General features: G+C 44.8%; 1 protein-coding gene across 14 annotated transcripts in view, besides 1 other annotated feature; it reads left to right on the forward strand.

The window, feature by feature from the left end:
- TULP4 (TUB like protein 4) overlaps positions 1-13403 on the forward strand; it is a 279634-nt gene that overhangs the window by 75493 nt on the left and 190738 nt on the right. For 12 of the 14 annotated variants that reach the window (XM_047419082.1, XM_047419087.1, XM_047419084.1 and 9 more), the window contains one exon: positions 4364-6581. In XM_047419082.1, coding sequence (XP_047275038.1) covers positions 6330-6581 — 252 coding nt within the window. In that variant the 5' untranslated portion in view covers positions 4364-6329. Of the gene's footprint in view, positions 1-4363; positions 6582-13403 lie in introns of those variants that run through there. The other 2 variants (NM_020245.5, NM_001007466.3) reach the window with 1 other exon arrangement.
- Positions 6402-6481: an enhancer, noted in NCBI's record as "active region_25351". NCBI's record gives its function as "activates an Ori minimal core promoter by ATAC-STARR-seq in GM12878 lymphoblastoid cells {active_cell/tissue: GM12878}" and the evidence as "EXISTENCE:reporter gene assay evidence [ECO:0000049][PMID:35858748]".

A 13403-nucleotide genomic window follows, 5' to 3' on the forward strand; every position in this document is an offset into this window, starting at 1 on the left:
GGCCAGCCCGGTCTCGAACTCCTAACCTCTGGTGACCCCCGCCTTGGCCTCCCAAAGTCTTGTACCTTGAATGGATCTTTTACTCAAGTATAATTTCTATCATCTTTGTTGGTCATTTGGAAAATATTGGTTTACCAAGTATGTGAGTCTTCCAAATATTGATATATAATGAAATATGGGATAAAAAATAAAAAAAATCACATTTATTAACATCACCCCCAGTTACGTGGGGAGCTCGCAAGCTCATAGTGATGAGTGCTGATTTTCGCAAACATCTAAATTTAACTTGAAAGCTCAGTTTTTCTTTTCTTTTTTTTTTCTTTTTTTATTTTTATTGATCATTCTTGGGTGTTTCTCACAGAGGGGGATTTGGCAGGGTCATGGGACAATAGTGGAGGGAAGGTCAGCAGATAAACAAGTGAACAAAGGTCTCTGGTTTTCCTAGGCAGAGGAACCTGCGGCCTTCCGCAGTGTTTGTGTCCCTGGGTACTTGAGATTAGGGAGTGGTGATGACTCTTAACGAGCATGCTGCCTTCAAGCATCTGTTTAACAAAGCACATCTTGCACCGCCCTTAATCCATTTAACCCTGAGTGGACACAGCACATGTTTCAGAGAGCACAGGGTTGGGGGTAAGGTCACAGATCAACAGGATCCCAAGGCCAAAGAATTTTTCTTAGTACAGAACAAAATGAAAAGTTTCCCATGTCTACTTCTTTCTACACAGACACGGCAACCATCCGATTTCTCAATCTTTTCCCCACCTTTCCCCCCTTTCTATTCCACAAAACCGCCATTGTCATCATGGCCCGTTCTCAATGAGCTGTTGGGTACACCTCCCAGACGGGGTGGCGGCCGGGCAGAGGGGCTCTTCACTTCCCAGTAGGGGTGGCCGGGCAGAGGTGCCCCTCACCTCCCGGACGGGGCGGCTGGTCGGGCGGGGGGCTGACCCCCCCACCTCCCTCTCGGACGGGGCGGCTGGCCGGGCAGAGGGGCTCCTCACTTCCCAGTAGGGGCGGCCGGGCAGAGGCGCCCCTCACCTCCTGGACGGGGCGGCTGGCCGGGCGGGGGGCTGACCCCCCCACCTCCCTCCCGGACGGGGCAGCTGGCCGGGCAGAGGGGCTCCTCACTTCCCAGTAGGGGCGGCCGGGCAGAGGCGCCCCTTACCTCCCGGACGGGGCGGCTGGCCGGGTGGGGGGCTGACCCCCCCACCTCCCTCCCGGACGGGGCGGCTGGCCGGGCGGGGGGCTGACCCACCCACCTCCCTCCCGGACGGGGCGGCTGGCCGGGCAGGGGGCTGACCCCCCCACCTCCCTCCCGGACAGGGCGGCTGGCCTGGCGGGGGCTGACCCCCACCTCCCTCCCGGACGGGGTGGCTGCCGGGCGGAGACGCTCCTCACTTCCCAGACGGTGTGGTTGCTGGGTGGAGGGGCTCCTCATTTCTCAGATGGGGCGGCTGCCGGGCAGAGGGGCTCCTCACTTCTCAGATGGGGTGGTTGCCAGGCGGAGGGTCTCCTCACTTCTCAGACGGGACGGCCGGGCAGAGACGCTCCTCACCTCCCAGACGGGGTCGCGGCCGGGCAGAGGCACTCCTCACATCCCAGACGGGGCGGCGGGGCAGAGGCGCTCCCCACATCTCAGACCATGGGCAGCCGGGCAGAGACGCTCCTCACTTCCTAGATGGGATGGCGGCCGGGCAGAGACGCTCCTCACTTTCCAGACTGGGCAGCCAGGCAGAGGGGCTCCTCACGTCCCAGACGATGGGCGGCCAGGCAGAGACGCTCCTCACTTCCCAGACGGGGTGGCGGCCGGGCAGAGGCTGCACTCTCGGCGCTTTGGGAGGCCAAGGCAGGCGGCTGGGAGATGGAGGTTGTAGCAAGCCGAGATCATGCCACTGCACTCCAGCCTGGGCACCATTGAGCACCGAGTGAACCAGACTCCGTCTGCAATCCCGGCACCTCGGGAGGCTGAGGCTGGCGGATCACTCGCGGTTAGGAGCTGGAGACCAGCCTGGCCAACACAGCGAAACCCCGTCTCCACCAAAAAAATACGAAAACCAGTCAGGCGTGGCGGCGCGCCTGCAATCGCAGGCACTCGGCAGGCCGAGGCAGGAGAATCAGGCAGGGAGGTTGCAGTGAGCCGAGATGGCAGAAGTACAGTCCAGCTTCGGCTTGGCATCAGAGGGAGACCGTGGGAAGAGAGGGAGAGGGAGACCGTGGGGAGAGGGAGAGGGGGAGGGGGAGGGGGAGAGGGAGAGGGAGCTCAGTTTTTATTTTCAACAACAAATTCTGTTAGTTGTTTTCCTTAAAGTGGCAGGCTTACTTTGTTCATGTTCAAGAAAATGTCGGCCAAATATCCCAGCTGGAACAACCATAATTTGTCATTCATACTTTTTAGTAAACTTGGGGTATTAGCCCATTTGCATTACTATAAGGAATACCTGAGACTGGGTAATTTATAAAGAAAATTGTTTTAATTGGCTCATGGCTCTGCAGGCTTTACAGGAAGCATGGTGCTGGCATCTGTTTCTGGTGAGGCCTCAGGAAGCTTACAAACATGGCAGAAGGTGACAAGGAACTAGCATGTCACATAGCTAGAGCGGGAGCAGCAAGAGAGGTGGGAGGTGCTACACTTTTTTTTTTTTTTTTTTTTTGAGACGGAGTTTTTCTCTTTCGCCCAGGCTGGAGTGCAGTGGTGCGATCTTGGCTCACCGCAACCTCTGCCTTTCGGTTTCAAGCAATTCTTCTGCCTCAGCCTCCTGAGTAGTTGGGATTACAGGTGCCCACCACCATGCTCAGGTAATTTTTGTATTTTTAGTAGAGACAGGGTTTCACCATGTTGGCCAGGCTGGTCTCGAACTCCTGGTGCTACATTCTTTTAAACAACCAGGTATCGTGAGAGTTCACTCACTGTCAGAAGACAGCACCAAGACATTCATGAGGGACTGCCCCCATGATCCAAACACCTCCCACCAGGCCCCACCTCTAACACTGGGGGTTACGTTTCAGCATGAGATTTGGAGGGGCCAAACATTCAAACCATGTCACATGGTATTCCATGAAAAAAGCAAGCAGTTCATTTTGCAACTTAAACTGTATAATACATGCTTTTTCCTGGGACTACCATGGTGCTTCAGTAGTCCACAGAAGTACTTTATGTGTACCTACTATTTTGGGACACAAGGGTATTAAAAACCATGTACTCAAGGGCTGATATTTAATAAAATTAATAATTTTTACTGCCGTATCAAAGATGTTCTTAAGTGAGGCTGGCTTTTTTTTTCTTTCTTTTTTTTAATCTATGACTACTGGTGCAGTTGGTACCTCTACCTTGATTAGTGTTAAAGAGCTTGCAGTTTGACCCACTGTTGATTTTGCACCATGGGTACAAATGTGAACACGGAAGAAGGCAAATTATGTCCTAGTATTATGATGAAAGTAGAGTCTTTTGCTGGGACTTGATGCTACAGGCCAGTAGTTCTCAAAGCCTGGTTCCCTGCCCAGCAGCATTAGCATCTCTTGGGAGCTTATTAGAAATGCGAACACCTGGGCCCTTCCCTTCCCTTTCAGTGTCCAGTTCCTGTGGGATGGGGCTGGGCCGCTTCAGCTGCCCCAGGAGACTGAGAGAGTCTGCTGAATTTGAGAAAGTCCACTCTGCTTTCTGGAAGGACTGGCGGGGCGGGAGGGCAGGGAGGATGAGTAAGTTAGGGACAGAGTGTTCTCGTGTTTGTAGAGGATGTGATGCAGCCTGGACTTCAGGCAGTAGGAAGAAGATGGAATGGATTTGCTAGAGACAGATTCTCTAGAACTTTATTGCTGGTAGACCACATAAAAGCTTAGAAAACAGCTGCGCTTTGCTCCGAGACCTGCCAGCCATCAGGGACGAATGAGTTTTAAAGGCCCTTACTGCTTTGTGTCTTGAGGGAATATCTTTTATTAATCGTGAAAAAATCAATCCAGATAACTTGCCTGAGTCATTTCAGTCTCCTTTTTGAGGATGCCTGCTTAAACAGCGACCATGGTCTCTGGAGGGGTAGAGTCTCACATTCGGAGTTCAGTCTCTTAGAAAGTACAGTTCAGTGTGGAAGAATGGCAGTTATGATTTCATTCAGATGTGCCCAGCTGCTGACAAATTGAATACAACGATCAGTGGCAGGCAGAACTCTCATTTGTTGTGTGTTGTCTTGAGTCTGGTGAGGTGTATCCTTTCACTATTGGATTTTACCATTCAGTGCAGTCAGTAGCTCCATTTGATGTAAGTGTAAAGATGGGTCTCTCATTTCAGTTTCAGCAATTATTCTTAAAACCTTTATTTTCCAGTGTTTTAAAGTTTTTAAATTTTATATCTTTTTTTTTTTTTAAACAGATTTGTAAGACTCCAGGGCCTCCCAGCCGTGAATAATCTGATGGTTCCTGAAATGACTGGGGAAGCAGACGCTTCGTATGGCAGTTGAAGAGTGTGTGTCTATGTGCATTTAAAACCTTCTTTCTGTACTTACACATTCACACGGGAAGACAGGCTCATTCTTGTGCACACTTGAGAGTTTTACAACTGATGAAAATTAATTTAAGAATCAGATGGAGCAACTTGACACCAGTGGGCTCAGGAGCCCGGGGAGAAAAATACATCACTAATGGCCAGTTTTCCATATGGTCTGCACGGGTAAAGAAAGTCTGCAAAAAGAAGAAAAAAAAATTTGCGCAGATTAAACCACAAAAATATTCTCCAGTTTAAAGAAGGAACTAAGTGAGAAGGTGACTGAGAAAGAAGTGTGATTTCAAACATTGCAGCGGCTCACACAGTGTTTGTTGCACTTTATTTTTCAGTGGGTTTGGTGATTTGGACGGATTAAAATTCTAGACTGAAAAGTAACTCCTACTGTGGTTATGGCTAGAGGAAAGCAAGTTCAAGTATGATGGGACAAGTTTGAATAATGAACTGATTCCTTTGCCTATCTTAATTAACTGTATTTGAGAAATTTTAATTTATTATTCCCCCCCTTTTTTCCTGCATCTATAGGATAATATTGTAAAATAGCAATTGAAACCAATAATTATTAAATAAATATCAAGGAAAATCCAAGCAAAGCTTTCTTTTTGTTGGACTAGTGGTGTGGTGTTTGGAGACAGTCTCTGAATGTGAACAGGAAAGCACCCATCAGCAAAACACTATCACTCTCTAGGGAGACAGCTGGGGGAATCTGACTCTGGCTTCTGCTTTTGTTTTAAGGGATTAACTTCCCTGTCAAGTCCAAGAAGACTTGCGTATGAGAAGATTACCTGATGGACTTAATTCTAAGATTAGCTTTTTTCATCAAGATGGAAAAAGATCTTTAGGAGCAGAAAAGGGGAGTGCTAACTGGGGGAGCGAGAAGGGAGACGAGCAAAAGAAACAAAATCTTGCCACGTGGCTCTGTTTTGTCAGCAAGAGGATTTAAGACTCACCCAGGGCAAACACTGGGACCACTGTAAGAGCGCTGGAACATTCTGCCTCTTGAGTGAAGGGGCCTTCTTTCTAGCCTCTATGGCACTGAGGGGTGCGCCGGCTGGTGGAGGAGCAGTCCGATGGAGCCCTGCGTTCCCCGGGGACACAGGGCCAAGCTTTGAGGTGGAAAGTTTCTGGTTCTGAAACAACAAGGAGAGAGTCTGTTTTTCTTCCTAAAATTTGGACTCTTGTCTGCACAAACTCTGGTCTGTTTTGCACGGTTTGTGTGCCTTTTTTTCCCTTTATGCAATCTTTTTCAGCTTTAGCAGCAGAAATTTGTCTAGTTCAGGAAACATGCTAGAGGGTGGCTTCAGAAGGAAGATGATCCTGTGTATTCTGTCTCTGCATCCGAACTTTTGAAGAGAAAAATTCGAGCTAGAGGGATTCTTAAAGCCTTAAGTTACTTGAAATCTATGTATTTGCAACCCTTTGTCTCTGGAATCATATTACACTAAACTGGAATCTCAGGCTGAATGAGAATAACCAAGTGGAGTAAAAAGAAGAAAACCGTTTCTTGATCACCACTTAATTAACGATGCTCTTTCTCCAAAGGATCAGCACGTTCTTCCTCTGAGAACTTGAAAATACAAATGGACCCCATGTTTTTTTAAGCATTACCTTTTCTTAGAAGACTGCCATCATCTTTTATAGAGGAATTTTTTCACTATGCATTCGGTGGATCTTTATAAAATACTGACCTTCTAATTAGATTCAGGTCAGTCTTAATTAAAGGGGGAAAAAAGCAACGCAAGCCAACCACAAAAACACATATACCAATGAAAGAAATTGGTTTAAATTTCACAGCATTAACATTACTTTTTAAGTAAAACAGTTCATTGAAGAAAGTATGTATGCAGCAGTGGAACATGGGCCTGTGCTTTGCAGCGATTCCAACATCCTGTGCCTGTCCTGGAAGGGGCGTGTCCCCAAGAGTGAGAAGGAGAAGCCTGTGTGCAGGAGACGCTACTATGAGGAAGGCTGGCTGGCCACGGGCAACGGGCGAGGAGTGGTTGGGGTGACTTTCACCTCTAGTCACTGTCGCAGGGACAGGAGTACTCCACAGAGGATAAATTTCAACCTCCGGGGCCACAATAGCGAGGTGAGCTGTGGTTTTGTTTCACTTTTTGGTCACTTCCAGTGGTGTTTTTGAGCCCCTTGTGGACTTGAAACTTCCTTCATTTCAGTTTCATAGACTTGCTGCCTAGTGAGACTTCCCATGCTGTGAGTTCTGTCTCTTATTCTCTGGCAGAAAAGATGCTAAGATGGACATAGTTCACAGTAGGCTGCGCCTCCCCAGGTGGGTCAGTTGTCCCTGGCACCCCTGCTGTCCTCTCCCTGCACTGTCTCTCTTAGAGGGTCCGGGCAGTGGGAAGACGCCCAGCAGTAGGGAGGCCAGGGCGCTTTCTAACCAGGGTGGGGGGTTAAATTAGATGATCCTAACCAACTTTTCGTGCTCCAAGTCTACATGGCAAAGAGTTACCCCCACCCCTGATGTCCCACTGACAGTGTGAAAAATGAAAGTGGTGCTGCCTTTACCTTGCACGGTTAACATCTACGTTCCTTTGGTGATGGCTTAACACTTGGCTTGTATGTTTTCGTACTTGGAGGTAAAGAAGTAGTTAATGGACAAAAACCATAGTTTTTCACATGTATAGGGTATATTATATTGAGGCTATTATGCCATATATTTGTACATGTAGATTCCTCTGGGCTTCTAAAATATAAGCAGTGGGATTATGAAATTCATGCAACCAACATTTATTGAGCAATACTTAAGTGTTAGGCATTGTGTTTTAAAGAAGAGCGTGATTGGTAATTTCTTGCAAAGTTTTGCTTGTATGGCACCTTCGCAATATTCATGTTTTACTCTTCACTAGCTTATTTGGGTATTTTTAAAATGAGGAATCCATGACTATTTCAGGCATCTTAAAAATGTCATTAAATGGTTATTAAATAGCTACTGTAAAGGAGCAGGAATTTTTTCAAGTATAGGTCTTAGTCCATTTGTGCTACTATAACAAAATATAGACAGGGTGGCTTATAAACAGTAGAAATTTATTTCTCACAGTTCGGGAGGCTGAAAGTCTCAAGATCCGGGGCTAGTATGGTAGAGTTTTTTATTTCTTCTTGGTGGAAAGAGGATGAGAGTGTCTCTGAGGCCTCTTTTATGAGGCCACTAATCCCATACATGAGGGCTCCATTCTCATGACTTAATCACCTCCTATAAAGACCCTACCTCTTATTACCATCACCTAGGGAGATTCACCATACAAATTTTGGGGGCACACAAACATTGAGATCATAGCAATATAAACATTCAGTAAGGTGCACTAAACTTAACTCTCGATTATTTTTATATGCAGTCACCCATGTAAGCGCCAACAATATCAAAATATAGAGCATTTCCAGCACCAGTTACGGGTACTTGGTGCTCCTTCCCAGATTTTACATTCTGTCTTAATCCATTCCTGCTGCTGAAACAAAATATCTTAGACTGGGTAATCCATAAACAACAGAAATTTATTGCTTACAGTTCTGAAGACTGGGAAGTCCAAGATCAAGATGTTAGCAGTTTCAGTGTCTGGTGAGGGCTCTCTCCTCCATAAATGGCACCTCGTTCCTGTGTCCTCACATGGTGGAAGGGGCAAGGGAAGCTTCCTTGGGCCTATCTTACAAGGGTAGGAATCCCATTTATGAGGGCAGAGCCCTCAAGACCTGATCACCTCCCAAAGGTCCCACCTCTTGATACCACCACATGGGGATTAGGTTTCAACATTGAATTTTGTGGGGATGGAAACATTCAGATCCTAGCACGCCCCTCCTGAGAAGTAACTCATATTCTGACTTCTGTCACTGCTTAATGGAAATGGAATCCTTCATTACATACTCTCTGTGTCTGGCTTCTTTCACTCAACGTGATGTCTGTGAGATTCATCCCTGTTGTGTATATTATTAGTTTGTTCTTTTTAACTGATGTGAATTGTCCACTGAAGGAAGATACCTGGTGTTTTTCTTCTCCTGTTCCTGGGTATTTGGATTGCTTCCAGTTTTTGGCTGTTGTGACTAATGCTGCTATGAACGTTTGTGTGCGTGTGGACCTGTGCATTCAGAAGGTGGAATTTCTAAGTCATAGTGTTGCATGTGTTTAGGTTTAGTAGAAATTGCTTGTTTTCCAAAGTGGTTGTACTATTTACACCTCATCATTAATGTATGAAAGTTTTAGTTGTAAGGCCAAGAGTATTTTGAGATTCATTTTTCCACTGAGTTTAATTTATGAAGAGGCTTCTTTTGAATTTGAACTTTTTCCATTAAAAACAGTGGTTTTATGCAAGAAATTATGTTTTACAAATAATATATTGGGCATATACATACAGGCATGCACACATTTCCCCCCCTCAACACACACACATATCTGTACCTTTGAAGTGGATACGCTTCAAATTTTTTTTTTTATTCTTATGTAACAAATCACCCCAGACTTGGTGGCTTAAAACGTTACCCATTTTTAGTCTCACAGTTCTGTAGTTCTGAAGCCCTGTTATGGTATGTCTGGGGCCTCTGCTTAGGTCTCCCAGGCTGGGAAACGTGGTACCAGCCAGGACTGCTAGCTCCTCTGAGGCTCAGGGCCTTCTTCCAAGCTCATTCAGGTTGTTGGCAGAAATCAGTTCCTTGTGGTTGTAGGACTGAGGACCTCCGGTCTTAGAGGCCCTCACTAGTCCCAGCCATGTGGCCCTCTCCACAGCATGCAGTTTGCTTCTTCAAGGCCAGGAGGAGAGTATCTGCTGTAGCTTCAAATCTTTCTGACTTTTCATGTCTGAAAAATGGCACCCCTGAGCCGGCCATGCTCACCTCCACTCCTGGGGAGGGGATTACACTGGGTGTGCATACCAGGGGGTGTGGTTTTAGAATTCTGCCTACCACAAAAGAGAAGATTCCAATTCACAGACAGTAGTCTGGCTGTCTCACTGCTGAAACTGTTTTGCATGATTTTTCCACATTGCATTTTTACTTTTTTGGTTTTTTTTGAAGGGTACCTGTGCACAACATGCAGGTTTGTTACATAGGTATACATGTGCCGTGTTGGTTTGCTGCACCCATTAACTCATCATTTACATTAGGTATTTCTTCTAATGCTATTCCTCCCCCTGCCCCCCACCCCACGACAGGCCCCCATATGTGATGTTCCCCGCCCTGTATCCAAGTGTTCTCATTGTTCAGTTCCCACCTATGAGTGAGAACATGCGGTGTTTGGTTTTCTGTCCTTGTGATAGTTTGCTGAGAATGATGGTTTCCAGCTTCATTCATGTCCCTGCAAAGGACATGAACTCATCCTTTTTTATGGCTGCATAGTATTCCATGGTGTATATGTGCCACATTTTCTTAATCCAGTCTATCACTGATGGACATTTCGGTTGGTTCCAAGTTTTTGCTATTGTGAATAGTGCCGCAATAAACATATGTGTGCATGTGTCTTTATAGTAGCATGATTTTGGGTATATACCCAGTAATGGGATGGCTGGATCAAATGGTATTTCTAGTTCTAGATCCTTGAGGAATCACCACACTGTCTTCCACAATGGTTGAACTAGTCTACACTCCCACCAACAGTGTAAAAGCGTTACTATTTCTCCACATCCTCTCCAGCACCTGTTGTTTCCTGACTTTTTAATGATCACCATTCTAACTGGTGTGAGATGGTATCTCATTGTGGTTTTGATTTGCATTTCTCTGATGACCAGTGATGATGAGCATTTTTTCATGTGTCTTTTGGCTGCATAAATGTCCCCTTTTGAGAAGTGTCTGTTCATATCCTTTGCCCACTTTTTGACGGGGTTGTTTGTTTCTTTCTTGTAAATTTGTTTAAGTTCTTTGTAGATTCTGGATATTAGCCCTTTGTCAGATAGGTAGATTGCAAAAATTTTCTCCCATTTTATAGGTTGCCTGTTCACTCTGATGCATTTTTACTTTTAGTTAATTTCTGTTCCTCATATTAGAATCTGTTCCATTTGGCTGGGCATGGTGGCACATGCTTGTAATCCCAGCACTTTGGGAAGCTGAGGCGGGAAGATTGCTTGAGCTTAGGAGTTCAAGACCAGCCTGGGTAACATAGTGAGACCCTGCCTCTACTCTCCCCCACCCACCGCAAAGAAAAGAATATGTTCCATTTACTGAATGCCTGTCAAGTAGAGTGACCAACTCTCCTAGCTTCCCAGGATGTGGGACTGTCGGTGTTAATACCTGGAAAATCCCAGGCAAACTGAGTTGGTCATCCTACTGCCCAGTGCCTGACGTGGTTTCAGACATCTTACCTCATGTTGTTTACAGCAGACTCATGGGAAGATATCATTATTTCCATTTTATAGGGAAGAAAACTCAGGCTTTAAAGATGTTAAATAACCTGCCTAAATTCATGCAGCTTGTATGGAGGAGAACTGGAATCTAGGGGTCTAACATTTTCCTACAACTTTATTTTCTTATAACTTGTGTTAAATACAAGTCTATAACTTGTGTTAAATACAAGTCCTCAATCCCTTATCCTCAATTGTTATATCTTTTTTTTTTATTTAATTTTTTCAGACAGAGCTTCGCTCTCTTCCCCAGGCTAGAATGCAGTGGCACAATCACCGCTCACCGTAGCCTCTGCCTCCTGGGTTTGAGTGATCTTCCCACCTCAGCCTGCCAAGTAGGTGGGACTACAGACATATGCCACAATGTTCAGCTAGTTACAAATTTTTTTTTTTTTTTTTTTTTTTTTTGGTAGAGACAGGGTTTTGCTGTGTTGCCCAGGCTGGTCTCAAACTCCTAAACTTAAGTGATCCGCCCACCTCAGCCTCCCAAAGTGCTGGGATTATAGGTGAGAGCCACTGTGCCCAGCTCACGATTGTTAAATCTAAGGGCTCTGAAAATAGCAAGTTTTTGTATAATTGTTTCAATGGCAAGACCTGGCCTGGACTGATGTGAAGCCGCTGGTTGTTGTTATTCCATCACTTCAGCTGCAGAAATACTGTGTTTTATTATGGGGGCTGCCCAGACCTGTGGGTGGCACTAGATAATTGACAGGAGCTCCCCTTGTAGGACTTTGCTAAGATTTAAAAAATTCTGAATTCAAAATACTTGTCTCTAAGGATTCTCAATCAGGGGTTGTGAACTTGTGTCTTCATTTAAGGGAATCATCAAAAGAAACCTTGGGTTTTATTTAATTTGGTTTTTCATTTCCGGGAAGGCTGACATTTAACTCATCTCTGCCCTTACCTTATCTTCACTCCCTTCTACCACAAGAAGCAGAAAAACCCTGTGTCCCCACCGGCCATCCCTTAAGAACACTACTGAAAGAACCATTGCAAGATTTTATTTCTGGCCACGGAACTAACTAAATTGAAGGGGTCAGATCTAGTCGTCTGCTAATTTCACAACTGAATTAAAAAGGAAAAAAATCTGAATGAAAGATAATTTATTTCACCCTCAGCTAGTATGTAAAATCTGTTTTATATTATGTAAGTATTTAACAAATCTTAACAGTTTTGGAATTATAAATGTATTCAGTTAGATAAATTGAATCTGAAATTAAATACTGTGATAAATGTTTGTCTAGTCTTTGAGACTAGTTTGCCTTTCTCACATTGTGTATTCTGTTGTTAGAAATTTGTGATAAAATGGTATTAGCTATATTTGCCAGAGTTAAACATATAGTAGAGGAATTCTTATCCTGTGATACATAGCTTCATATTTGGTAAATATGTTAATGGTTCTAATCAGATGGTGAAAATATATGCCCCCCTCAATCCTGAAAGCACCTTTCATAAAAAAGAACCACTACCACAAAAAATGAATGATCAGCCAAACCAACTTTTCCCAAAGCAACTTTCTATGGCATTTGGGGACGGAAACAAAATAATCCTTTTACCAGTATCTCTTTTGAAACCTTTGATTAGCAGTGTTATGGAAGAGGAATAGATGTGTGCTTACCTACTGAAACTCCAAGGGGGACTCTTCGTGGCTGGCTGAGAAGTGATGCTTTTTTAGAATTATTTGTCCTTTTACTGTGAAGCAGTAATTCAAGAAAGATGAGTTTTTCTTTTAAAAGAGTCCTCAATAGGTGGGCAGGTATGTCAGGCAAAATAATGATTATGTTCCATAATGAAGATTATTTCAGAAAATAATTACTTGGGAATGTTTTTATTCTATGAAACAATTTCTTACAGATATTGTAGATGTCGTGCAAATTAATCAAGGTTATTTGTACTGATTGTCATTTAACAGGAATTTTTTTTTTTTTTTTTTACACAGAGTCTCACTTTGTTGCCCAGGCTGGAGTGCAATGGCGTAATCTTGGCTCACTGCAACCTCCGCCCCCCAGGTTCAAGCCATTTTTCTGCCTCAGCCTCCTGAGTAGCTATGATTACAGGTGCCCGCCACCACACCCAGCTAATTTTTGTATTTTTAGTAGAAACGGGATTTTGCCATGTTGACCAGGCTGGTCTCAAACTCCTGGTCTCAGGTGATCCACCCGCCTCAGCCTCCCCAAGTGCTGGGATTACAGGCCTGAGCCACCATGCCCGGCTAACAGGATTTTTTTGACTTGAGAATAAGCAGGCAGCTATGTGTAGTTGCTGGAATTCGTTTTGTTATAAGGACACGACTACTGTAGCAATGGTCTCACCTGATTTCTTGGATTGGGTACATCTTCTCCGATATGCTTTCTCTGACCCTGCCCCTTGTCCCTGTTGTACACTTAACAGACTTCTCTGGTTGCGCTGATCATGCTTTATTATAGTTATCTGCTTGCCTCGTTTGGTAAAACTTATTGGAAGATCAATGTACCCTGTCATTCTTAACTTCCTCACCTCTCATTGTTTAGAATATCAATTATTTATTTATTTTTTAAAAAAATTTTCTTTAACTTTTTGGCCCACTTCAGTGT

The sequence above is a fragment of the Homo sapiens genome, chromosome 6, assembly GCF_000001405.40.
Source record: "Homo sapiens chromosome 6, GRCh38.p14 Primary Assembly".
NCBI lineage: Eukaryota > Metazoa > Chordata > Mammalia > Primates > Hominidae > Homo > Homo sapiens.